General features: G+C 36.3%; 1 protein-coding gene across 22 annotated transcripts in view, besides 1 other annotated feature; it reads left to right on the forward strand.

Moving 5' to 3' along the window:
- FER (FER tyrosine kinase) overlaps positions 1-26,189 on the forward strand; it is a 448,945-nt gene that overhangs the window by 223,663 nt on the left and 199,093 nt on the right. For 3 of the 22 annotated variants that reach the window (XM_047416945.1, XM_047416942.1, XM_047416944.1), the window contains one exon: positions 9,066-9,804. The exons of 18 other annotated variants lie outside the window; for them this stretch is intronic. In XM_047416945.1, the coding sequence (XP_047272901.1) occupies positions 9,066-9,095 (30 nt within the window). In that variant the 3' untranslated portion in view covers positions 9,096-9,804. Of the gene's footprint in view, positions 1-9,065; positions 9,805-13,894; positions 14,119-26,189 lie in introns of those variants that run through there. One more of the 22 variants, XR_007058590.1, reaches the window with a different exon arrangement.
- Positions 21,157-22,046: an enhancer, noted in NCBI's record as "H3K27ac hESC enhancer chr5:108328417-108329306 (GRCh37/hg19 assembly coordinates)". NCBI's record gives its function as "activates a minimal SCP1, AML or CMV promoter by ChIP-STARR-seq in primed H9 embryonic stem cells {active_cell/tissue: H9 hESC(primed)}" and the evidence as "EXISTENCE:reporter gene assay evidence [ECO:0000049][PMID:30033119]".

Raw genomic sequence — 26,189 nt, forward strand, 5'->3', positions numbered from 1 at the left:
TAGATAACAGTGTCCTCAACAATATTTTTGTACAAGTTTAGAAACAGATCTCATAGGTTGTTGATTTTAGCATCCTTTAAATGTAGCCAAGGTTATAATATTAAAACACAGCTTAATAAAGAACATTCTACATCAGCATTTTCCCCCTATTTTCAATTTTTCCTGAATAGAATAGTAAAATTCTAGGACTCCAGACTTATCAAAATATTAATAAAAATTAGCATTAAATACATTAAAAAGTTTAAACAACTCAGAATATCAAGGGTTATACATATGACATTTACAAATATCTCATGATATTTATATACCTGAACAGTTTAATATTTAGTCAGGTTCGTAGAGAATGCACATGCTGAGTGAAAACAAACATTAAGATGTAATGAATTGTTGAAGTTTTTTTTCCCTTTAGGCTTTGCACTTTTGAAAATATGTTTCCAATATTTTATTTTATTTTATAAATTATCAGTTCAAAATTACTTAATTTAATGGAGGTTCACCATCTTCTTTAATGTTTTGCTTTTTAGATTTTGAACTTAGACATTGAGGACACATTTGATATTCTATAAACCCCAAAAGAACAGAGGAACTCTGATACAAGGATTATTAGTGTTTGTACTTCTATAGTTCAAGCAGAAGAAAAGTGGTTATCAGAATGGAGGGACAGATGAGAGGTGGTAAGGAGTGAGTGTGGTGAGTCTGTGAGCAGTAGGAGTGTGACAGAGAGAAGAGGGTACCTTCTCGGCCTCTGTCTTGGACTGGTCTCTTCAACCCACATAACCCCTTATTCTTAGTAGTCTCCTCCCTCTGTCCCTACCTGCAGCTCACATACACTTCTGAGGCAGAACATCTCGCATGATGATATTTTCATTATTCCATCTTCATTATTAGTCTCCTTTAGTTGACATACATACTCATAAAGCATCTCATAAAAAGTCTTCTTCCTCAGCTTACATTGATCTTTGAAGTAGTTATGGCATTTAATTTATTCAGTCTTGTACTATGTTAGTTTTGTATATCTGACGTGCCCATTAAAGGTGTTTGAGAGCAATAAGGATATTTTTACTCACTTTTTTGTATCTCTCAGAGTCTTACGTGTAATATACATTCAGTAAATACTTGATATTATTTTTGAAAAAATCTAGACATCTAAGAAGTGCCCAATATAACATTTGAAAAATATAAACAAGACTCATATTCTATTTTCAGAATAATGTAGAAATTTTGGCTTTTAACGATTCCAGAGTTGGGCTTTGTTTACATTTATGTGTGGCATCTCTTTGGAAATAAGATATATCCAGTTTCAATTCTATTTGTACAGTAATTTACTTTCTATTTTTAAATTATATTTGAAGTGAGTTTTCCATGTAGTTACAGTGCTCTTCGGAAACTTCATAAATGTTTTTGAGTACAGATAGAAAACATTTCTGGTTGCACTCTTATTCAGCTTATCTGTATTTTATACTACGGCAAACTATATCTAATTGTTTCCATTAAATTTATTTGACACCTTGATGAGATTTCTCTCTGATATTAAAGTGGTGACACAATCTTGTGTAATATTTAATATTCCTTATTTGAAAATTAAAGCCCTGTATTAACCCATTTGAAAAGTGAGAATGATATACAAGAACAGACATACTTGTTTTCACTTTAAAAAACACCATTTATCTTTATCATATTAATTAAATTAGTGTTCACCTTCTGCTACCTTGTCCTTCAAGGGAACGATTTAATTGTGCCACAAAAGGCTTGTCCCACATTCTATTTTATGTAGACTAAGTTTGCATGCTAAGAATTTTAATGACATCAAAATACTAGGATTTAAGTTAGAAAAACCAAAGACATTAAAAAGATATCTGCAAGTGATTTTTAAAAAACGAGAAACCTCATTGTATGTATTTATAAGCCTTACAGAAAAATGAAACTTCTTTTTGTTTTTTTTTGTTATTTATGTAACAATTTGTATATATTAAAACTACACCAAAAATGGATTTTGTAGCAGGAATACCCATAGAGAGAAATTACAATCTTGTGGACATCCTTGAACGTTGATTGATAGTTATTTAAATTAATGAGAAATAGAATCAACCTCAGCAAAAATCAGTTACAATTTCTTATGTGTCTCTTAGTAATCAAGGATCCTCATCTTCACACCATAGCTCTCATTGTTTCATGGTCTTACCATGAGGGATACTTCCTAATGGTGGCCTATAAGAGGTATGATTTTCTCACTACTTTCTAGTAATGCTGTATTCTCTTTTAAATAATAAATCTATATCCTTTTTTGACTCTAGAATCACTTCAGTTGGAGACCTTAGGAATCATTTCTTAATGTTCATAATACTGGATCATGAGATAGTCAATAAAGTTTTCTGAGTCTTCTCTAGAAATAAGTTTGAAAAGACTTCTTCACTTCTATTGCAGTCTTGAATGTGGGTTTTCAGGAAGATCATCAATGTTCATCTGAAATAAATAGTAGAAATTTTCGAGGAATCCCACAGCTCTTAAGCATTTTTCTGATTATCTCTTGAGTTAACATTCAATAAATACGTATTTAGTTGCTTAGTATATCATAGAAATTATATTAGGTACTGAGGATACAGTGATGACTATGACAATATTTGCCTCAAAAGAAATTAAGAGTCTGGTTGGCAAGATAGATTAGTGAGAATTCATTCATGATTGAGGTGATGAACCCCATTCCAGAGGAATTTTATGGTATTTTAGGGGACATAGTATGTTAGACAGTTGAGGAAAGGACAAAAGGTGGGCTGAGTTGTGAAGAATGACTACAACTGCACTGGTGAAGGGCCTGAGACAGCATAGTTTTTCAGAGGAGGTGCATCTGATCTTGGGGTGAAAAATTCTGTGGCACATTTGAAGAACTATTTGAAGGATTCTATCTTATACACCTGGAGTGGAGACTACATTAGTCATCAGGGAAAGAGAGGAAAAGAGGCATGGTAGATAGAATAATGGCTCCCCAAATATGTCTACACCCTAATTGCTGGCATCTGTGAATAGGTTCCATTACAAAGCAAAAGGAATTTTGCAGATGTGACTATGTTAAGGATTTTGTGATGGGGAGATAGTTCTGGATTATCCACATGGACCTCTTGTACTCACAAGTATTCTTACCTGGAAGAGGAAGGTAGAAGTCGTAGTCAGACAAGAAGATATGCCTACAGTATGACTACAAAACTAGTTACATGGCCAAGGTCCAAGGAATGATGACAGCCTCTAGAAACTGGAAAAGGCAAGAAATAGATTATTTCCTTATAACCTGCAAAAAGAACATAGCTCTGCAGACATTATGATTTTAGCCCCAAGAGACTCATTCTGGACTTTTGACCTCCAGAACTGTAAAATAATAAATTTGTGTTTACTATAAAGACACATGCATATGTGTGTTTATTGCAATAGCAAAGACTTGGAACCAACCCAAATGCTCATCAATGATAGACTGGATAAAGAAAATGTGGCACATATATACCATGGAATACTATGGAGCCATAAAAAAGAATAAGTTCATGTCATTTGCAGGGACATGGATGAAGCTGGAAACCATCATTCTCAGCAAACTAACACAGGAACAGAAAACCAAACACTGCATGTTCTCACTCATAAGTGGGAGTTGAACAGTGAGAACACATGGACACCGGGAGGGGAACATCACACACCGGGGTCTGTCGGGTTGAGGGGCAAGGGAGAGGAGAGCATTAGGATAAATAGCTAATGCACGCGGGGCTTAAAACGTAGATGATGGGTCAATAGGTGCAGCGAACCACCATGACACATGTATACCTATGTAACAAACATGCATGTTCTGTACATGTATCCCAGAACTTAAAATAAAATAAAAATAAATTTGTCTTGCATTAAGCTACTAAATATATGACAATTAGTTACAGTAGCAGTAGAAAACTAATACAGGAGGTGAGGTTGGAGAAGGGAAAAGGTGCCAAATAATAACATTTCATCCTAAAGGGTTTGATCTTTGGGGGCAACAGGAAATTTTGAATGGTCTTATACTAGGAAAAGTCATGATCAGATTTGTATTTTCTACGGATAATTATGGCTTCATCTTGGAAATCACTTAGTGAGTTGTTGACAGGTAAGAAATAGAAGTGACAATGAGATGTAAAAATGTAAATTTGGGTTTTAGAGAATGATTAGGTATTTGTGGGGGTGTTGATTGCTGGATAAAATTACGAATCATTAGCTTAGTTATCTGTCAGAATCACTAAGACTTGGCAAAGAAGTTGATGGGTGAAAGAGAGGTTTTAAGGATTACCTTCAGGTTTATAATTCAGCAGCTAGGTGATGATGTCATGGACTGAGATGCTATAGGAAGCCAGGTTAAGGAGAAAATTGGGGGCATGCTAAGTTTTACATATATGTGACATTTCCAAATAGATGTGACCTGTAGGCCGATGGATATGTATATCTGGAATTTAGAAGCAACCTCAGGGCCACAGATATAGATATGGGAGTCACCAATATGTAGAGAAAATACCTGAAGGTTTGGAGTAAATGAGAAAATATTTAGCATGCGACAAGGGCCTATGACAGATAATTCAGGGATGGCAGAAGAGGAGGCTCCATTGGTCTCTCTCACTTATTTCTTCCTTTCACTCATGTTGCTGCCTTATTTATACAGGCTTTCATCACTTTAAACCTAGATTGCTGATAACTCATCTACTTCTCTTTCCTTTAGGATCTTTTCCTCCCTCTTCTCACTAGAATTATCCTTCTAAAATAACATTTTATCCTATCAGATTGCTACTTTTAAAACTTATGATACTTCTTTTGCTTTTGTGAAGCAATGCAGGCCTCTTTGTCTCATCAAGGTTTTCTAAGGTGGGATCCTAGTTCACCTGCCCAATTTAGCCCCTTCTTCCTTTGTTCCCTTTCCTTTAGCCACCCTGTTAGAATGCATATACAGTTGACCCCCTGAACAATCTGGGGGTGACGGGTGCTGACCCCCTGCATAGTCAAAAATCTGCATATGACTTTTGACTTCCCAGAAACAACTACTAATAGCCTACTGTTGACCAGAAGCCTTACTGATAACATATTTAACACATATTTTGTATGCTATATGTCTATACTGTATTCTTACAATAAGGCAGAGAAAAGAAAATATTACTTTAAAAATTATAAGGAAGAGATACTACATTTATAGTATTGTACTGTATTTATTGATACCGTAAGTTTGTATCATCTGTTTACAAGATGAATGATCTCTCTGACATGGTGGGCATCTATAGCTTCAGACCTCAATCTATGGTGCATATCAAGCAATTCAACTTTATCTTGTAATATTATGACTTTTCTCTGCTGGGAACATTTCCAGCATCACTAGTGGCACTTTATGTGGGTCCCATGGTGTTATTCAAGGTTTATGGTATTGCATAAAACATGATGAAAAATTCACAAGAACCACAAGAGATCACTTTTTACTGTGATAGAGTTTAGTACAGAGACAAACTGCTCACACAGAGATGATTAGCATCACACAGCATTTTAAGCAGATATTTGCAACACTTGAGCTCACCACAATAGCAGTGAGAGGTAGCTACAAAATTATTACAGTAGTAATGTATGTACTACAGTTAATTTTATGCAGTTGTGATTTAATACTGCATTTTTATGTTCATATTTTTCTGAGCTATAAATGGCACCATGTATGGTCTGTTTGTGTATAAATTCTGATAAATTTTAACTTTTTATAATAGGTTTATGTATATTTTATGGTAGTAAATAAGATAGACTAATAGTTAGATGTATTTTATGGATTCATGACATACCTTTTTCTTATTTTTTCTCAATATTTCTAGGCTAGGCAATTCATCTGCTTTTCCAAGTTGTCTCAAATTTCCAAAAATATTTTCCAATGTATTTAATTTAAAAAGTCCATGTATAAGTGAATCCACACAGTTCAAACCTATGTAGTTCAAGGGTCAACTGTATAATAATATAGAACCTCAAACTCAGCATTTATAAGCATGAACTCATTATGTTGATTTACTTCTATGTTCCCCACTGCCCCTACTTTTCAGTTTTGGTCTTTGTTAACACTATCCATTCTATTATAAAAACATATTTGGAATGTTTATATACTCCCTTTTCCTCATCCTTCACATTTAATAAGTCATGAATTCCTGTAACTTAAACCTCATAATGGCTTTCAGATTTGTTACCTGCTCTATTTCCTTGCTGCGGCTATCTCAGCTGAGGCCTTCAGCAATGTGGGTCAGACACTTGTGAAGCGACTCCTGTTTCTCTCTTCTCTCTCTTTTGTTTAGATGGAGTCTCACTATGTCACCCAGCTGGAGTGCAGTGGTACGATCTTGGCTCACTGCAGCCCCTGCCTCCTGGGCCCAAGCGATCCTCCTGCCTCAGCCTCCCGAGGTAGCTGGGACCACTGATGCATGCCACCACGATTGGCTAATATTTGTATTTTTAGTAGAGATGGGGTTTCACCGCATTGCCCAGGCTGGTCTTGAACTCCTGAGCTCAAGCGTCTGCCCGCCTTGGTCTCCTAAAGTGCTGGTATTACAGGCATGAGCCATCGTGCCTAGCTAACTCCTGTTTCTCTTGTTTGCCTTTGTCATGTTTAGATGTTTGGAATATCTAAAATAATGACCGATTATGTTCTTTAAATGCTTAAAATACCCTAATGAATCTACATTACTCATTGATCAGGTTGATACATTCTAACATACAAAAATCCTTTATAGATTTTTTCAGTTTTTCCAGTTGTTTCTCCTGACAATCCTTTGCATGTCTGAAGCTGCAATTTACCAAAATCCCTTTCACTCCCAGAATGTGGTCTGTTATTTCATACCTTTCTATCTTTGTAACGCTGCGCTCTTTCTTGGAAATATATTTTGGGCATCAATTCTGTTTAAAGTCTTTCTTAACTCTACCAGTTCATATTAAGTCCTCCTTTCCCTGTGCTTGCATACAATTCACAAGCATGATTACATTATTTATTGTGTAGTATTGAAATTATTTTTTAAAAATACTTCTGTTGTGGATTTGTGAAGTCCGGGAGTATATTAATTCATCTTTGTCTTCCTTGATCCATTGTGGCACATAAAAGGTACTCAATAAATATGCGTTGAGAGAATGTTTTAAAGAACAGAACACTATATATACTCATAGATGCAAACTGTGTACATGAAGCCCAAAACGATCTAGGCATTAATAGGAATATTATAATTAATAAGTCAGAGACAATAGTCTGGTTCTTACTCAAGGACGTGAGTGGCACTTACATCCCTTAGATTATAATTCTAGTAGTCACCTTCAAGAAAGAGCCAATGAAACTAAAAAATATTCAGATTGGAGAAATTATTGGGATTACAAACTTGGAAGTGTTATGCAACTACCTGTAGGTAAGGAAATAATTATTGTTTAATGATTCAGTGATTTCTTGTGTGTGTCATTCCTGTAGAGCTTATTTGTATTATTCTCAATATCATAGATATTGTGAATCAAACTATTTTTTTAGATATTTGGAGAGGCCTGAGTTACCACTTTGATTGTTGGCAAATTGCATTTCCATTATTTACCCTTAGAAATCCTAGCTTGTGGTTATAGACAATTAAAGCAATATTCTTTCCTGTAAAGTTCTTCCTGATTATTTCCTGGAAGAAATCTGGCAGGAAAGCCTGTTCAGAAGTCGATTCAGCTTGACACCTTCTCTACCAGCTGTATCTTTGCTAGATTATTTGTTTTTCCTGTGAGACATTGGACAATATGCTTAATCTCTTTCCCTGAATTTCATTTTCTGTACCTACTTCACAGTGTTGTTGGAAGGGCAAAGTGGTGAAAGCATTAACTCCAAAATAAAGAAATTAAGAAGTCAGTATTTATAAGTTACAGTTTGAACAGTAGATGTATTAAGCATTTAAATATTAAGTCAGAGTCAAGAGTTCAAAAAATATTACACGGCATTACTTTAAGTATAGAGAAAGGCTTAATTAAAAAATTAAAAAGTAATTCTTATTAAAATATCCATTTGCTAAGTATATCATTAAATGTGGCATAAGATCATTCTAATCTTGTTCATACTTGATATAATACAATAGAAGTTTCTCTCTGTTACTAGTGAAAAATAATTCATCTTGTGAGCCAATTTTTCTATGTTGACTAAGGGCCATGAGGCATTGTCTCCTGTTGTGTCCTTTTTTTCTTATAAAAATTTATTTTAGAAGAAATACTTTTAGTGTGACATTGCCTTTTTATATGAATACAAGTTGAATAATTACCCTCAGATAGTAGTGTTCAGTGTTTAGATATGTGCGGGTCATCTGCACTGTTTGTGAGTTGTGGAGGTTCTAGGACCATTACAATGGGATTAGGATCCAGTGAATATGGGATGGGGCACCAAGATCTGCATTTTCAAAAAGATACCAGGTAATTATCATTAAAGTGATCTGTGGTTTGAGAAGCACTGTTCTAAATTACAAAACTTTTGTTTTTTTTCTGTTCAGCCCATACTGAGTAATCAATTGTTTCAATGAGGATGAGGAACAGAAACAAATCCTTGAAACAAAACAAACAACATAAAAAACAAAATCAAATTTTTTTCTTTCTGTGAGTGAGATCAAAAGGATGAAGTTACAAATGACTGATTCAGGGAAAATCTTACTGTGAATGACATTCATTTCAGCCATGTACCATGCCTCTATGTATAAATTTATACTGGTAGGCCAGGAGAGAGTAAAAAAGCAAGAAGCATTGGGATCCTTGAGGTCTAAAATCTTAGAAAAAGAGGAAGGCCATAGAGAAGAGTAAAGACCAAGAAAATTTACAAAGGTCTAAAATTTTTGCATAAATTGAATATTCAGTATTCATCTATACAGGAGAGCGTCTCTTGTTTTGATAAACTCCTGTAATTGTTTTGATTCTTCTTTCTAACAGAAATATTCCAAGCCAAAATAGCACTTACTATTTCTTCAATGCCATTTCACCTGATGTATATAGAAATGTGAAATTTCATCCTCAATTCCCATGTCACAGACTAATCTGTTTGAAATTGGTTGGTTTTTCAGGCCCTTTGCAAGATCAAAGGAAGCATTTAGAAGTCATAATGAAGAAACAGTGTTTATAGGTTTAGACCGATAACAGAGTGAATTTCCAAACACCCTTCAGAAGACTGAGCATTTTCATTATTGTCACCTGATTGTCATAGTCCATGAGTGATTGTTGAATATCCTCTGTGGGTCTGACCCTATTACTGAATTATTTGAAGAAGCAAAAGAAACAAGTGTTTTGTTGGACAGATATAACATTCAACTTATAATTCAGATTTCTTGTCATTTGATAAAATTTTAGTAAAAACTGAAAAACATGTTTTTGTTAAAGGGGAAAAGAATAACTTTTGGTAGGGTTTTTTAGAGAAGAAGTGAGCACACGCTGTTGGAAAATGACATCAATAGACTTGATTGACCCACGGTTGCCAAACCTTCAATTTGTAAGAAATATCTACAAATCACAGTAAAGTGAAGCACAATAAAATAAGGTATGCTTGTATTATAGCTCATTATTGTGTAAAAGGTAATACACAATCGCTGAAGTTTTTTTTTTAGTTCATAATTGAAGCTTAATAATGTGTTTTAGTTTACTTCCATTGTTTAATGACTGTAGTATTTAAACATAGGAAAAAGTCAGAGCATATTTATGGGGGTCATTGATTTATATATCTTGCTTAATTCCCCTAAAGGATTAGGAGACATTTGCAAAGCTATGTTAAATCAAACAGGCTAAAAGTGAGGGGATGTTGAAACTGGAGAGAAGAGAAAAAAAGCATATATACATATTTAAGGAGGGTATAAATACATATTCCCTCCTTATATAAGGTAAATATTATACAGAAATGTTTATCAAGGTTCCTCTAAAGTCGATATAGGCTACACATTCAGTTCTGAGTGGGTAAACAATAAAAGTGTAAAATAAAGGAAGGTGCTGAAGAGAACAGCTGTGCATAGTCCTGAGACCTTAGAGATAGCTTTTGTAAGGCTTTAATCAGAAGACTAGCATTTATTTAATAAACATTTATATGTAATATAAATCAGACATTGTTCTAAGTGCTTTACTCATTAAATTTTTGTAAAAATCTTACGAGGTGGATATTATTTTCCTAGTTTTATGGATGAGGAAATTGAGGCACAGAGAAGTTACATAATTTGTTCAAGACTGCATAACTATTAAGTGGCAGAGCTTGGATTCCAACCCAGACATTTTGACTTGAGGGTATTTTGTCTTCAACATTATGCCATGCTGCCTCTCCAAGTGGCATCTAAGAGGAGAGTGCCTGTAATTTCATGTTCATAGTAAGAGTTTATTGAATTTTTGTGCCTGTTTCTTATAACCATCAATGATGCTAATTAAGGACCACTGACACTGGGAAACATGAGTACTTTCCCACTTTTACTTATAGACCTCCCTGTGGCTCACTTCTTAGACCAGAGGTTTTGAAAGCGCAGGCTCTGGACCAGTAAAGTCAACATCACCTGGGAACTTGTTAGAAATGCAAATTTTCTGACTCCACCCCACACCTACAGAATCAGAAACTCTGAAAGTAGGGCCCAGCTTTCTGCGTTTTAATGACACTTCTAGGTGATTTGGATGTTCCCTAAAGTTTGAGAACCTGTAACATAAAGTAATCTAGATGGAAAGAAAAAAAGGGTATCTGGAGCCTGTAAGTTATTGTTATGACCTTATCTTTGTAATTTAGATGGAGAATATAGTAGGAGTTTGTAGTAAAAGCACGTGCATTCTACCTTTGGTAATAAGAGAAAAAATTGCATTTATCAGGGACTAGGCTGGTAATTATTTGAGGTATAAGCAATGACCTCTTTAAACTTTAATCATCTCCAAGCATCCTAATGATCAAGAATCAGTGGTGCAGAAATACCTATTTTATGGCTTTTTGGAGAAGTTGATGTTCCAAAATTGATTTTTGCAGTCTTATAGAACTCAAAAGAAAGGTATCCGAAATAATATTCTGCATTAACACTATTTTTTCGGTATTCCTCTTATGAACTATTCACTGCAATCATTCTGAAGTGATTTGAAACAGTAAATAGTAAAGTTCATCTTTGTAAGAATTATAATTCTTAAACCTATGTTTGGTCTGTCATATTTTAGGTTGAGTCAAGAAAGCTACTATGAAGATTATTTCTTCAGAAATATGTCCCCAACTCCTAGGCAATTATCAGATATTCCCTACACACTTTAGTTTTCCTTCTCAACATTTTTCTCTTTTTTTTGTAATTATGCATTTATTAGCATTTACCTACTTAAGCCTCATTTTCTCATCCATAAAATGGTGATAATTTTACCTCATTGGTTCTGTTGTCTTAAATGGCATGCATACTAAATATGTTAACCGTTTCTGTTATTTATTACTACTACTAATATACTAATACCACTACACAGTAAACCCCATGATGGCAAAGATGGTATATATTTTGTGCCATTGTGTTCCCTAGCACCTAGTATGTATTCAGTAAATATTTGTTGAATGAGTGAATTGATAAATTGAATAATTCTAATCTTGATGAGATGCTATGACAATATGGAAATATGTACGGGGTCAGGAACAATTTTGGACATAATTGAGCATCATATTGAACATTTCTGTTCAATGTGACTTCTGAAAAAGGAATTACTAGCACAAAATTACAAAACCAATAGCATCTCTGACTAAGATTTATACTTAGACCATAATTTAACACTTTTTCCCAGTCTGAGCTCTTTACTGCTTCCTCAAAACCCCTATTCTTTTACTTTACTGTATGCTTCCTTAAAATGCCTTTGTGCTTTTGGTTTAAACCAAGTTGAAATCTAATTATATTTTAAAATTGAGTAGATTTTGGGCAGAAATATGGACAGCTGATTCATAGTATTCTTCTAGGTATGAAATATATGTAAAGTAGTAAATTAATTTTTGTCCTCTGATGACAGTGAAGTTTTTGACATTACAGTCATCCTTAGTAGTTTCATCAACACATTAAGCAGATGAGTAGTATTTCTAAGCCATATGGAATTCCTAAGTTGAGAGCAGAGGGAACACTGGAGTTACTCATCTGAAGTCTGTGGGTGAAATTTGACTTTAAGCGGTTTACAATTTTAATGGCAGAATCAAGGTCATAGAGGAGCAAGAGACATATGGTGATTTAAACAGCTCCTGATTTCAAGTCCTTCTAGGTCAGCTAAAATGCACTACCCAGATTCTTCTTCCAAAAATGCATAGAATTATGAGACATCTCAAATAGCTACTGAAAGCAAGCTAACACACCGGTATACTTGTGCTCACGCTTTCATTCTCCCTTTGCTCTATCATCCTCTCTCTCTTTCTCTCTGCTTTCTTGGTTTCTTTCATGCAGTCAGCAAATATTTATTGAGCACCTGCTTTGCCTCTGGTGCTGGCAATACAGTAAAAAAACAAAACAGACACGGTGCCTACTCTTCTTGAAATGTATACTCTGGGGACTCATTTAATTTTTCAAAAATATTATTTTAGGTCAAGTTCTACTAGCAGTTTTCTGTCCTTTCCTTTGCTTGTCTTACCTTTTATTCTTCCAAAAGTAAAAGATCCCTAAAAGTTTTCCCAGAATCCTGTCTTACCATTCTTATTTCTTAAAATTCTCTTTATGGGGAGTTAAAGTTACTGTAGGCAAAGATCTAGAGGAATATAGAAAAAGGAATTGAGAATGTGTTCACCAGATGTACAGAAACAATTCTATTAGTCAAGTTAATAATAGCTCAGAAGATATAAATATAAAAATTGTATAAAATGTCCTACGAAATCCCAGTTATTATATATACAAGTTTAAATATCCTTAGGGAATAAAGCTGAAGAGTATAAGATTTGTTTGAAGGATCATCAAAGCATATTTGAAAATACTATAGAAGAAAACTAACTGGGAACTGAAATTATTCTTATCCCAAACATGATGTTGGAGAATAAGTAAATGCCACGATAGTTTTTTTTTTTTACATTCTGTATTATTCATTGAGTTATATTTCATTGAATATAATACAGTACTTAATATTTATTGAGTATTATGCTCATGTCTTTTTATTACACTGAAAAACACACAAATATGACAAATTGTCATTTATCTAAAAGTACGTGGGGAAACTGTAACAAAGGCTATATCAAAAATCAATTGGAAAGGGAATTTTCTCTCAATCCGTGGTGGTGAGATAAACTGGTAGCAATTTGGTAAGGCAACAGTTTAGACATTGCTTTTCACAGTATTATACTTTTAAAATGAATTAGAATTACATATAAAATCAAGTTGTAAGAAAGAATAAAATATAACTTAATATTTATAAACTTTTGGACATGGAGATAAGACATTTAGAGGTTAGAAAACCCACAGAAAATAAAAAAGGTTAATGTTAGCAATTTTGAGTATCTAATAATATTCTAATCTAAAATATTAAAAGAATAATTCCAAGATAATAAGACAAATTACGAATTAAAACTAGTGCTTATCATACAAATAACTCATAAAAATAGGGAGAAACATACTACAAATTCAGGGTTTAAATGGAGAGTGGACATGGGCTGACAGGTCACATGAGAGTGACTAAAATTGTTTTTAAAAATAAATGTAAAGTATGACAATTCAATGTAACCATATGTACAAATATAGCTCTGAATAGATTTTATTTTTTGAAACATTTTTAGCAAAATTTAAAAAGCTGGACCATAACGGGATGATATCTTTACAGTAAATAGTAATATAAATTGTTCTACTCTTTGACCTTTTAATATTTTTGTTTTTTCGTGCATTTAACCTGATAGTCACTATTTGTTTCTTTCCACTTTTTAAAAGTTTTTTTTTCTCTCTTTCTTTTTAAATAGGTTTCTGGGGAGCAGGTGGTGTTTGCTTACATGAGTAAGTTCTTTATGGAGGTTGTGATTTCTGAGATTATGGTGCACCCATTACCCGAGCAGTATACGCTGTACCCAGTGTGTAGTCTTATATCCCTGATTCCCTCCCACCATTTCCCACGAGTCCCCAAAGTCCATTGTATCATTCTTATGCCTTTGCATCCTCATAGCTTAGCTCCCACTCATGAGTGAGAACATACGATGTTTGGTTTTTCATTCCTCTGTTACTTCACTTAGAATAATGGTCCCCAGTTGCATCCAGGTGGCTGCAAATGCCATTATTTTATTCTGTTTTATGGCTGAATAGTGTTATATGGTATATATACACCACAATTTCTTTATCCACTCATTGATTGATGGGCATTTGGGTTGGTTTCATATTTTTGCAATTGCAAATTGTGCTCCTGTAGACATGTGTATGCAAATACCTTTTTCGTACAATGACTTCTTTTCCTCTGGATAGATACCCAATGGTGGGATTGCTGGATCAAATGGTAGTTCTACTTTTACTTCTTTAAGGAATCTCCACATTGTTTTCCATAGTGGTTATACTTGTTTATATTCCCACCAGCAGTGTAGAAGTGTTCCCTTTTCACCACATCTATGCCAACATGTATTATTTTTTGTTTTTTTTATTATGGCCACTCTTGTAGGAGTAAGGTGGTATCACATTGTGGTTTTGATTTGCATTTCCCTAATCATTAATGATGTTGAGCATTTCATCAAATATTTGTTGGCTAATTGTATATCTTCTGTTGAGAATTGTCTATTCATGTCGTTAGCCCACTTTTTGCTGGGTTTTTTTCTTCTCTTTTTTTTTTTTCCTGATTTGTTTGACTTCATTGTAGATTCTGGATATTAGTCCTTTTTCAGATGTATAGATTGTGAAGATTTTCTTCCACTCTATGTGTTGTCTGTTTGCTCTGCTGATTGTTTCTTTTTCTGTGCAGAAGCTTTTTCATTTAATTAAGTCTCATATATTTATCTTTGTTTTTGTTGCATTTGCTTTTGGGTTCTTGGTTATGAAGTCTTTGCCTAATCCAGTGTCTAGAAGTGTTTTTCTGATGTTATCTTTTAGTATTTTTATAGTTTCAGATCTTAAATTTAAGTCCTTGATCCATCTTGAGTTGATTTTGGTATAAGGTGAGAAATGAGGATCCAATTTCATTCTTCTACATGTGACTTTCCAATTATTCCAGCAACATTTGTTGAATAGGGTGTACTTTACCCACTTTATGTTTTTGTTTGCTTTGTTGAAGATCAGTTGACTGTAAGTATTTGGGTTTATTTCTGGGTTCTCTATTCTGTTCCATTGGTCTATGCCTACTTTTATATCGGTACCGTGCTGTTTTGGTGACTGTGGCTTTATAGCATAATTTGGAGTCAGGTAATGTGATGCCTCCAGATTTGTTCTTTTTGTTTACTCTTGTTTTGTCAATGACGGTTCTTTTTTGCTTCCATGTGAGTTTTAGGATTTTTTTTTTCTAGTTCTGTCAAGAATGATGGTGGTATTTTGATGGGAATTGCATTGAATTTGTAGATTGCTCTTGGTAATATGGTCATTCTCATAATATTGATTCTACCCCATCCATAAGCTTGAGATGTGTTTCCATTTGTTTGTTTTTTCTGTGATTTCTTTCAGCAGTGTTTTAGTGTTTTGTAGTTTTAAAACCTTGTAGAGGCTGGGTGCAATGGCTCACACCTGTAATCCCAGCACTTTGGGAAGCCAAGGTAGGCAGATCACATGAGGTCAGGATTTCGAGACCAGCCTGGCCAACATGGCGAAACCCCATCTCTACTAAAAATACAAAAATTAGCCGGGCATGGTGGTGGGCACCTGTAATCCCAGCTACTTGGGAGGCTAAGGCAGGAGAATCGCTTGAACCTGGGAGGTGGAGGTTGCAGTGAGATGAGATCACGCCCTTGTACTCCAGCCTGGGCAACAAGAGCAAAACTCCATCTCAAAAAAAAGAAAACAAAAAAATCGAAAACCAAAATCTTGTAGAGGTCTTTCACCTCAGTGGTTAGGTATATTCCTAAATTTTATTTTATTTTATTTTATTTGCAGCTATTGTAAAGGAATTTGAGTTCTTAATTTGATTCTCAGCTTGGTTGCTGTTGGTGTGTGGAAGAGCTACTGATTTGTGTACATTAATTTTGTATCCTGAAACTTTGCCAAATTCATTTACCAGTTCTACAAGCTTTTTGGAGGAGTCTTTAGGGTTTTCTAGGTATACAATCATATCATTAGCAAACAGCAACAGTTTAATATCCTCTTTACCAATTTGGATGCCCTTTATTTTTTTTCTCTTGTCTGATTGCTCTGGCTAGGACTTCCAGTACTATGTTGAATGGAAGTGGTGAGAATGGGCGTCCTTGTCTCATTCCACTTCTCAGAGGGAATGCTTTCAACTTTTTCCCATTCAATATTATGTTGGCTGTGGGTTTGTCATAGATGGCTTTTATTACGTTAAGGTATATCCCTTCTCTGCCAGTATTGCTGAGGGTGTTAATCACAAACGGATGCTGAATTTTGTCAAATGCTTTTTCTGCGTTTCTTGAGATGATGTGATTTCTGTTTTTGATTCTGTTTATGTGGTGTATTACGTTTATTGACTTGTGTATGTTGAACCATCCCTGCATCCCTGGTATGAAACCCACTTGGTCATGGTGGATTGTCCTTTTGATATTCTGTTGGATTCGGTTAGCTTGTATTTCTTAAGGATTTTTGCATCTATATTCATCAGGAATGTTGGTCTGTAGTTTTTCTTTTTTTGCTCTGTCCTTTTCTGATTTTGATATTAGGATGATATTGGCTTCATAGAATGATTTAGGGAGTATTTTCTCTTTATCTTGGAGAATAGTGTCACTAGGATTGGTACCAATTCTTCTTTGAATGTCTGATAGAATTCAGCTGTGAATCCATCTGGTCCTGGACTTTTTTGTTGGCAAGTTTTTATTACCATTTCAATCTCACTGCTTATTACTGATCTGCTCAGAGTTTCTGTTTCTTCTTGGTTTAATCTAGGAGGGTCCTTTATTTCCAGGAATTTGTCCGTTTTCTCTAGGTTTTCTAATTTAGGTACGTAAAGGTGTTCATAGTAGCCTTCAATGATCTTTTGTATTTCCGTGGTATCAGTTGTAATATCTCCCATTTCAATTATAATTGAGCTTATTTGGATCTTCTTTCTTATTTTCTGGGTTAATGCTGCTAATGATCTATCAATTTTATCTATCTTTTCAAAGAACCAGCTTTTTGCTTCATTTATCTTTGTTGTTGTTGGTTTTGGTGTTATTTGTTTCAGTTTCATTTAGTTTGGCTCTGATCTTTGTTGTTTCTTTTCTTGTGATAGGTTTGGGTTTGGTTTCTTCTTGTTTCTTTAGGTGTGACCTTAGATTGTCTATTTGTACTCTTTCAGACTTTTTGATGTAGACATTTAAGGAACTTTCCTCTTAGCACTACCTTTGCTGTATCCCAAAGGTTTTGATACATTGTGTCATTGTTATTGTTCGTTCAAAGAATTTTTTAATTTCCATCTTGATTTCATTTGCAACGGTCATTCACGAGCAGGTTATTTAATTTCTACTTATTTGCATGGTTTTGAGGTTCCTTTTGGAGTTGATTTCCAATTTTATTTTACTGTTGACCTTTTAATCTTATTACCAGGAGTCAGTCCTACTGAAATAATCTTCAAATGTGTAAAATCTGGATGCTGAGTGTTACTCGTCTTGTTTTTATTATAATAGAAAAAAATCAGAACTAGTCATTATGAGAAAACGATTATGGGAGTGCATGAAGATGGATAATGCTGATCTGTTGGTCTTTCAGGATTTCTTAAAAAGACCAACAACCTTTGCCAAACTGCATTCTGCAATATTCTTCAGTTGCTTTACATTACAAATAATCAAATGAAAATAATTAAGAAATAAATATTAAGAAATATTAAGAATCATTAAGAAATACTAAGTTCCAAAAAATATTTTATTATGAATCCAATGAAATATTGGCCTGTTTATGAGCTTCCTGGATACTTTAAAAAATCCTAGGTCATTTAGCATATTCCTTTCTTTCTGAGTGTGAAATATTATCCATCTTTCCATTTTTGTTTTAACAGATGAACTTAACTAATATTACATATGTGTATTTTTTCTTTATTTGATTACATTAGGATTTTCTAAACATTTTTGTATCTCTTATTTATAACTATTTCTCTCCCATTGCATCTTGATGATTAGTATTAGCTTTGAAAAATGCCCAAGAAAGCAATTAAAATAGTCATTATTTTAGTAGTATTTCCTTTATAAAAATCGTATGTGGTGTAAGCATGAGAATACATTAATACAAAATAGTATAATATGATATAGCTAGACATTTAATGCATTTATTTTAATTTGAAGAAGATAGTTTGTACTATATTCACCAATGTTTGTTTTAGTTATTGTAAGCAGTCACATTTTTCCCTCTAGTCAGTCTCAGGTCAAGGAGTATGTCATAATACTTTTTGTGTCCCCCTAGTGCCTTGTACTTACTAGATACTCAGTAAATTTCTAAAGAATTGATTAGGTGATTTGGGACATGTGACACATACAATCTATTTAATTTTTTCTGTCACAGTCATATAAAAGTAAGCAGCTTCTTAACATTAGTGTATATTAATACAAGCAAAAACAAATTTTAAATTAGCTTAGTCATTGAATTAAAATGCTGATGAAACTGAAAGGAAGCTAGTATTTACATAGTATTAGAAGGAAACATGATTTTGCTAGCTTGTTTTAACTTGGTGGTTTTCATTTGAATTCTCCTGTAGATAGATATTTAATCAAACTTTAAAAAATATGGTTGATAATAAGTTTCAATATACTAGACTTAGAGTTTTCTAAAAATATTGTATATTACATATTGATTTATGTATATCAATATTTCAGCTTAGAAAATTAGATACAACTTGTATCTCTATTGGTGTATGCATGTGTATGTATGTAGATACATTTCATCCTAACTGCCCACTTAATACATTTCAAAGAAATATAAATGTAAAGGTAAGTATACTTGCAAAAAAATTACAGGTGAAGAGAAAATGAAGGAAATTGATGAGAGGATAACAGAAAGTATTATAATAATGTATAAATATTTGGGAAGTATTAATAGGAATGCTATATTTGGGAGTTGAAAGAGATTAAATGGTCTTAAGAGAGAGAGACACAGAAAATACATCTTTATAAAGCCAGAAATGAGTGAGAAAATGAAGAGTAATTATTCAGTGAAATAGATGAGTCATCTTTATTAACATCTTTAAAATGAAGGAAGCTTAAATAAAATCAAGCAATACAGAGATTCTCTACCCAAATATAGTACAGAAATGAAATATGTTTCTAGATTTACATCCATGATTTTTCACACTGATACTGCTAAAATACCTAGTACTCTACTTTTAATATTAAAATATGTACATAACTTATGAAGCAAGAAATAAGGCTTTGTTGAGAATTAGAATGAATATGTATTTGCATATTGTGCTTCTGAGTTTGACATAAATATTTAATATTTAGATATATAGTATATGTATATATACACACATATATACAAATATATATCTTAAACAGGGGTACTTTTATTTGTAATAAGACAGAAAATAAGAAAATTATTAAGTATAAAGGAGAAAGTTTCAATATTGAAATTAAATACCAATATTAGCATAGCATGTCTGTCTCATTTTGTATATGTGTATATACGCACATGTATATATGGGTGTGTGTGTATTTCAGCTGGCTTCTGGATTCTGGATAATGCAATTAATTGAATTATAACATAGTTTAATTACTCTAATTATTGTTAAGGCAAAGGAAAAAAGTATAGGCATATTTTATAATCTTAAGTGATTATAGACAATGAAGTGTCACGGCCCCCCCAAAAACAGACAAATTTTTAACACTCAAATTACTGAAAATTATTAATTTGTTTATCCATATGTAAGGTTTTATAATTTAATGAAAAGATGTATCATTAAAAGAAATTAGCAGCTTTTCAGATCGTATACTTTGATATTTTATTTTTTTAAGAGTTCAACATTTATTCCAGGATTGTCATTTATATCACATTTGTGCAGAATTTATAATCACAAGCAGATAAACTTTTTTTTCTGTATTTCAATATCTCCTTCCTTATTCATTTGTTATTCATTCATTTGTTTATTCAGTAAGGTTTTAAGTTTATTCAGTAAGGTTTTTTTTAGCACTTGCTATTTTACTCAGGAAAAATTTTCTGTTATAACCACTTTAAAGCTCTCAAGATATAACTTAGCCACAGAAATATATTAAATTATTTCAAAGCTTTCTCTTCCTTTGGCTGAGTAATTCTATTTCCTTTTCTTTGTATTTTCTTTTTTTTTTTTAAATTAATTAATTTATTTTTATTGATCATTCTTGGGTGTTTCTCGCAGAGGGGGATTTGGCAGGGTCATAGGACAATAGTGGAGGGAAGGTCAACAGATAAACAAGTGAACAAAGGTCTCTGGTTTTCCTAGGCAGAGGACCCTGCGGCCTTCCGCAGTGTTTGTGTCCCTGGGTACTTGAGGTTAGGGAGTGGTGATGACTCTTAACGAGCATGCTGCCTTCAAGCATCTGTTTAACAAAGCACATCTTGCACCGCCCTTAATCCATTTAACCCTGAGTGGACACAGCACATGTTTCAGAGAGCACAGGGTTGGGGGTAAGGTCACAGATCTACAGGATCCCAAGGCAGAAGAATTTTTCTAGTACAGAACAAAATGAAAAGTCTCCCATGTCTACTTCTTCCTACACAGACACGGCAATCATCCGATTTCTCAATCTTTTCCCCACCTTTACCCCCTTTCTATTCTACAAAACCGCCATTGTCATCATGGCCCGTTCTCAATGAGCTGTTGGGTACACCTCCCAGACGGGGTGGTGGCCAGGCAGAGGGGCTCCTCACTTCCCAGTAGGGGCGGCAGGGCAGAGGCGCCCCTCACCTCCCGGACGGGGTGGCTGGCCGGGCGGGGGGCTGACCCCCCACCTCCCTCCCGGACGGGGCAGCTGGCCGGGCAGAGGGGCTCCTCACTTCCCAGTAGGGGTGGCTGGGCAGAGGCGCCCCTTACCTCCCAGATGGGGCGGCTGGCCGGGCGGGGGGCTGACCACCCCACCTCCCTCCCGGACGGGGCGGCTGGCCTGGCGGGGGCTGACCCCCACCTCCCTCCCGGATGGGGTGGCTGCTGGGCGGAGACGCTCCTCACTTCCCAGACGGGGTGGCTGCCGGGCGGAGGGGCTCCTCACTTCTCAGACGGGGCGGTTGCCAGGCAGAGGGTCTCCTCACTTCTCAGACAGGGCGGCCGGGCAGAGACACTCCTCACCTCCCAGACGGGGTCGCGGCCAGGCAGAGGCGCTCCTCACATCCCAGACGGGGCGGCGGGGCAGAGACGCTTCCCACATCTCCGACGATGGGCGGCCGGGCAGAGACGCTCCTCACTTCCTAGATGGGATGGCGGCCGGGAAGAGGCGCTCCTCACTTCCTAGATGGGATGGCGGCCGGGCAGAGACGCTCCTCACTTTCCAGACTGGGCAGCCAGGCAGAGGGGCTCCTCACCTCCCAGACGATGGGCGGCCAAGCAGAGAGGCTCCTCACTTCCCAGACGGGGTGGCGGCCGGGCAGAGGCTGCAATCTCAGCACTTTGGGAGGCCAAGGCAGGCGGCTGGGAGGTGGAGGTTGTGGCGAGCTGAGATCACGCCACTGCACTCTAGCCTGGGCACCATTGAGCACTGAGTGAACGAGACTCTGTCTGCAATCCCGGCACCTCGGGAGGCCGAGGCTGGCGGATCACTCGCGGTTAGGAGCTAGAGACCAGCCCGGCCAACACAGCGAAACCCCGTCTCCACCAAAAAAATACGAAAACCAGTCAGGCGTGGCCGCGCGCGCCTGCAATCGCAGGCACTCGCCAGGCTGAGGCAGGAGAATCAGGCAGGGAGGATGCAGTGAGCCGAGATGGCAGCAGTACAGTCCAGCTTCGGCTCGGCATCAGAGGGAGACTGTGGAAAGAGAGGGAGAGGGAGACTGTGGGGAGAGGGAGACCGTGGGGAGAGGGAGAGGGAGAGGGAGAGGGCGAGGGCGAGGGAGAGGGCAAGGGCGAGGGCGAGGGTGAGGGCGAGGGCGAGGGCGAGGGCGAGGGTGAGGGAGAGGGAGAGGGCTGTATTTTCAAATACAAGTTGAGGATGGTTCTTCTGATGTTAATCACTTGGGTGATTCCCACCAACAGTGTAAAAGCATCCCTGTTTCTCCATAGCCTTGCCAGCATCTGTTGTGTCTTAACTTTTGATAGTTGCCCTTCTGACTGGTGTGAGATGGTATCTTTGTGGTTTTGATTTGCATTTCTCTAATGATCAGTGATGTTGAGCTTTTTTTTCATGTTTATTAGCCCCTTAAATGTCTTCTTTTCAGAAGTGTCTGTTCATGCCCTTTGCCCACTTTTTAATGGTGTTGTTTTCTTCTTGTAAATTTATTTAAGTTCCTTGTAGGTTCTAGATATTAATACTTTGTCAGATGGATAGATTGCAAAATTTTTCTCCCATTCTGTAGGTCGTCTGTTCACTCTGATGATAGTTCCTTTTGCTGTTCAGAAGCTCTTTAGTTTAATTAGATCCCATATGTCAGTTTTTGCTCTTGTTGCAATTGCTTTTGATATATTAATCATGAAATCTTTGCCCATGCCTATGCCCCACATTTTCTGCTAGAGTTTTTATAGTTTTGGGTTTTGTATTTCAGTCTTTAATCCATCTTGAGTTAATTTTTGTATAAGGTATAAGGAAGGGGTCCAGTTCCAATTTTCTCCATATGGCTAGCCAGTTCTCCCAGCACCATTTATTAAATAGGGAATCTTTTCCCCATTGCTTGTTTTTGCCAGGTTTGTCGAAGATCAGATGGTTGTAGATGTGCAGTCATAGTTCTGAGATCTCAATTCTGTTCCATTGGTCTTTGTGTCTGTTTCTGTACCAGTACCATGCTGTTTTGGTTAGTGTAGTCTTGTAGTATAGTTTGAAGTTGGGTAGTATGATTCCTCCAGCTTTGTTCTTTTTGCTTATGATTATCTTGGCTATTTGGGGTCTTTTTTGGTTCTATATGAATTTTAAAGTAGTTTTTTCTAATTCTGTGAAGAATATCAGTGGTAGTTTCATGTGAATAGCATTGAATTTATAAATTGCTTTGGGCAGTATGGCCTTTTTTATGATACTGATTATTCCTATCCACGAGCATGGAATGTTTTTCCATTTGTTTGTTTCCTCTCTTATTTCCTTGAGCAGTGGTTTGTAGTTCTCCTTGAAGAGGTCCTTCACTTCCCTTGTTAGCTGTATGCCTAGGTATTTTATTCTCTTTGTAGCAATTGTGAATGGGACTTCATTCATAATTTGGTGCTTTGCTTGTCTATTGTTGGTATATAGGAATGCTTGTGATTTTTGCACATTGATTTTGTATCCTGAGACTTTGCTGAGGTTACTTACCAGCTTAAGGAGATTTGGGGCTGAGACTATTGGGTTTTCTAGATGTAGGATCTCGTCATCTGCAAACAGAGGTAGTTTGACTTCCTCTCTTCCTATTTGTATACCCTCTATTTCTTTCTCTTACCTGATTGCCCTGGCCAGAACTTCTAATACTGTGTTGAAAAGGAGTGGTGAGAGAGGGCATCCTTGTCTTGTACAGTTTTAAGGGGAATGCTTCTAGCTTTTGCCCATTCAGTATGGTATTGACTGTTGTTTTGTCATAAATGGCTTTTCTTTTCTTTTTTTAATTATTATACTTTAAGTTCTGGGGTACATGTGCAGAACATGCAGGTTTGTTACATAGGTATACACGTGTCATGGTGGTTTACTGCACCCATCAACCTGTCATCTACATTAGGTATTTCTCCTAATGCTATCCCTCTACTAGCCCCCCACCCCCCAACAGGCCCCAGTGTGTGATGTTCCCCTTCCTATGTACATGTGTTCTCATTGTTCAGCTCCCACTTATGAATGAGAACATGTGGTGTTTGGTTTTCTGTTCTTGTGTTAGTTTGCTGAGAATTATAGTTTTCAGCTTCATCCATGTCCCTGCAAAAACATGAACTCATCCTTTTTTATGGCTACTTAGTATTCCATGGTGTATATGTGCCATGTTTTCTTTATCCAGTCTATCATTGATGGGCATTTGGGTTGGTTCCAAGTCTTTGCTATTGTGAACAGTGCTGCAATAAAACATACGTGTGCATGTGTCTTTATAGTAGAATGATTTATAATCCTTTGGGTAGATAGCCAGTAATGGGATTGCTGGGTCAAATGGTATTTCTGATTCTAGATCCTTGAGGAATCACCACACTGTCTTCCACAATGGCTGAACTAATTTACACTCCCACCAACAGTGTAAAATGTTCCTATTTTTCCACATCCTCTCCAGCATCTGTTGTTTCCTGACTTCTTAATGATCACCATTCTAACTGGTGTGAGATGGTATCTCTTTGTGGTTTTGATTTGCATTTCTCTAATGACCAGTGATAATGAGCTTTTCTTCGTATGTTTGTTGGCCGCATAAATGTCTTTTTTTGAGAAATGTCTGTTCATATCCCTTGCCCACTTTTTGAAGGAGTTGTTTTTTTCTTGTAAATTTGTTTAATTCATTGTAGATTCTGGATATTAGCCCTTTGTCAGATGGAGAGATTGCAAAAATTTTCTCCCATTCTGTAGGTTGCGTGTTCACTCTGATGATAGTTTCTTTTGCTGTGTGGAAGCTCTCTAGTTTAATTTGATCCCATTTGTCAACTTTGGATTTTGTTGCCATTGCTTTTGGTGTTTTAGTCCTGAAGTCTTTGCCCATGCCCATGTCCTGAATGGTAATGCCTAGGTTTTCTTCTAGGGTTTTTATTGTTTTAGGTCTTACATTTAAGTATTTAATCCATCTTGAGTTTATTTTTGTATAAGGTGTAAGGAAGGGGTCCAGTTTCAGTTTTCTGCATAAGGCTAGCCAGTTTTCCCAACACAATTATTAAATAGGGAATCCTTTCCTCATTTCTTGTTTTTGTCAGGTTTGTCAAAGATAAGATGGTTGTAGGTGTGTGGTGTTATTTCTGAGGCCTCTATTCTGTTCCGTTGGTCTGTATATCTGTTTTAATACCAGTACCATGCTGTTTTGGTTACTGTAGCCTTGTGGTATAGTTTGAAGTCAGGTAGCATGATGCCTCCAGCATTGTTCTTTTTTGCTAGGATTGTCTTGGCTGTGTGGGCTCTTTTTTTGTTTCCATATGCAATTTAAAGTAGTTTTTTCCAACTTTGTGAAGAAAGTCAGTGGTCACTTGATGGGGATAGCATTTAATCTATACATTACTTTGGGCAATATGGCCCTTTTCACGATATTGATTCTTCTTATCCATGAGCATGGAATGTTTTTTCATTTATTTGTGTCCTCTTTTACTTCCTTGTACAGTGGTTTGTAGTTCTCCTTAAAGACGTCCTTCACATTCCTTGTAAGTTGGATTCCTAGGTATTTTATTCCCTTTGTAGCAATTGTGAATGGGAGTTCACTCATGATTTGGCTCTCTGTCTGTTATTGGTGTTTAGGAATGCTTGTGAAATTTGCACATTGATTTTGTATCCTGAGACTTTGCTAAAGTTGCTTATCAGCTTAAGGAGATTTTGGGCTGAGGGGAGGCCGAGGCAGGCAGATCACAAGGTCAGGAGATCGAGACCATCCTGGCTAACACGGTGAAACCCCGTCTCTACTAAAAAAAAAAAAAAAATACAAAAAAAATTAGCCGGGCTTGGTGGTGGGCGCCTGTAGTCCCAGCTACTCGGGAGGCTGAGGCAGGAGAATGGCGTGAACCCAGGAGGCAGAGCTTGCAGTGAGCGAGAGCATGCCACTGCACTCCAGCCTGGGTGGTGGAGCGAGACCCTGTCTCAAAAAAAAAAAAAAAAAGAGATTTTGGGCTGAGACGATGGGGTTTTCCAAATATACACTCATGTCATCTGCAAGTAGAGAAAATTTGACTTTCTCTTTTCCTAATTGAATACCCTTTATTTCTGTCTCTTGCCTGATTGCCCTGGCCAGACTTCTAATACTATGTTCAATAGGAGTGATGAGAGACGGGGTCAGGGACCCACTTGAGGAGGCAGTCTTACCCTTAGCAGAGCTCCGGTGCTGTGCTGGGAGATCCGCTGCTCTCTTCAGAGCCATCAGGCAGGGACGGTTATGTCTGCTGAAGCTGCTCCCACAGCTGCCTCTTTCCCCAGG

Source organism: Homo sapiens, chromosome 5 (genome assembly GCF_000001405.40).
Source record: "Homo sapiens chromosome 5, GRCh38.p14 Primary Assembly".
NCBI classification, from domain to species: Eukaryota; Metazoa; Chordata; class Mammalia; order Primates; family Hominidae; genus Homo; species Homo sapiens.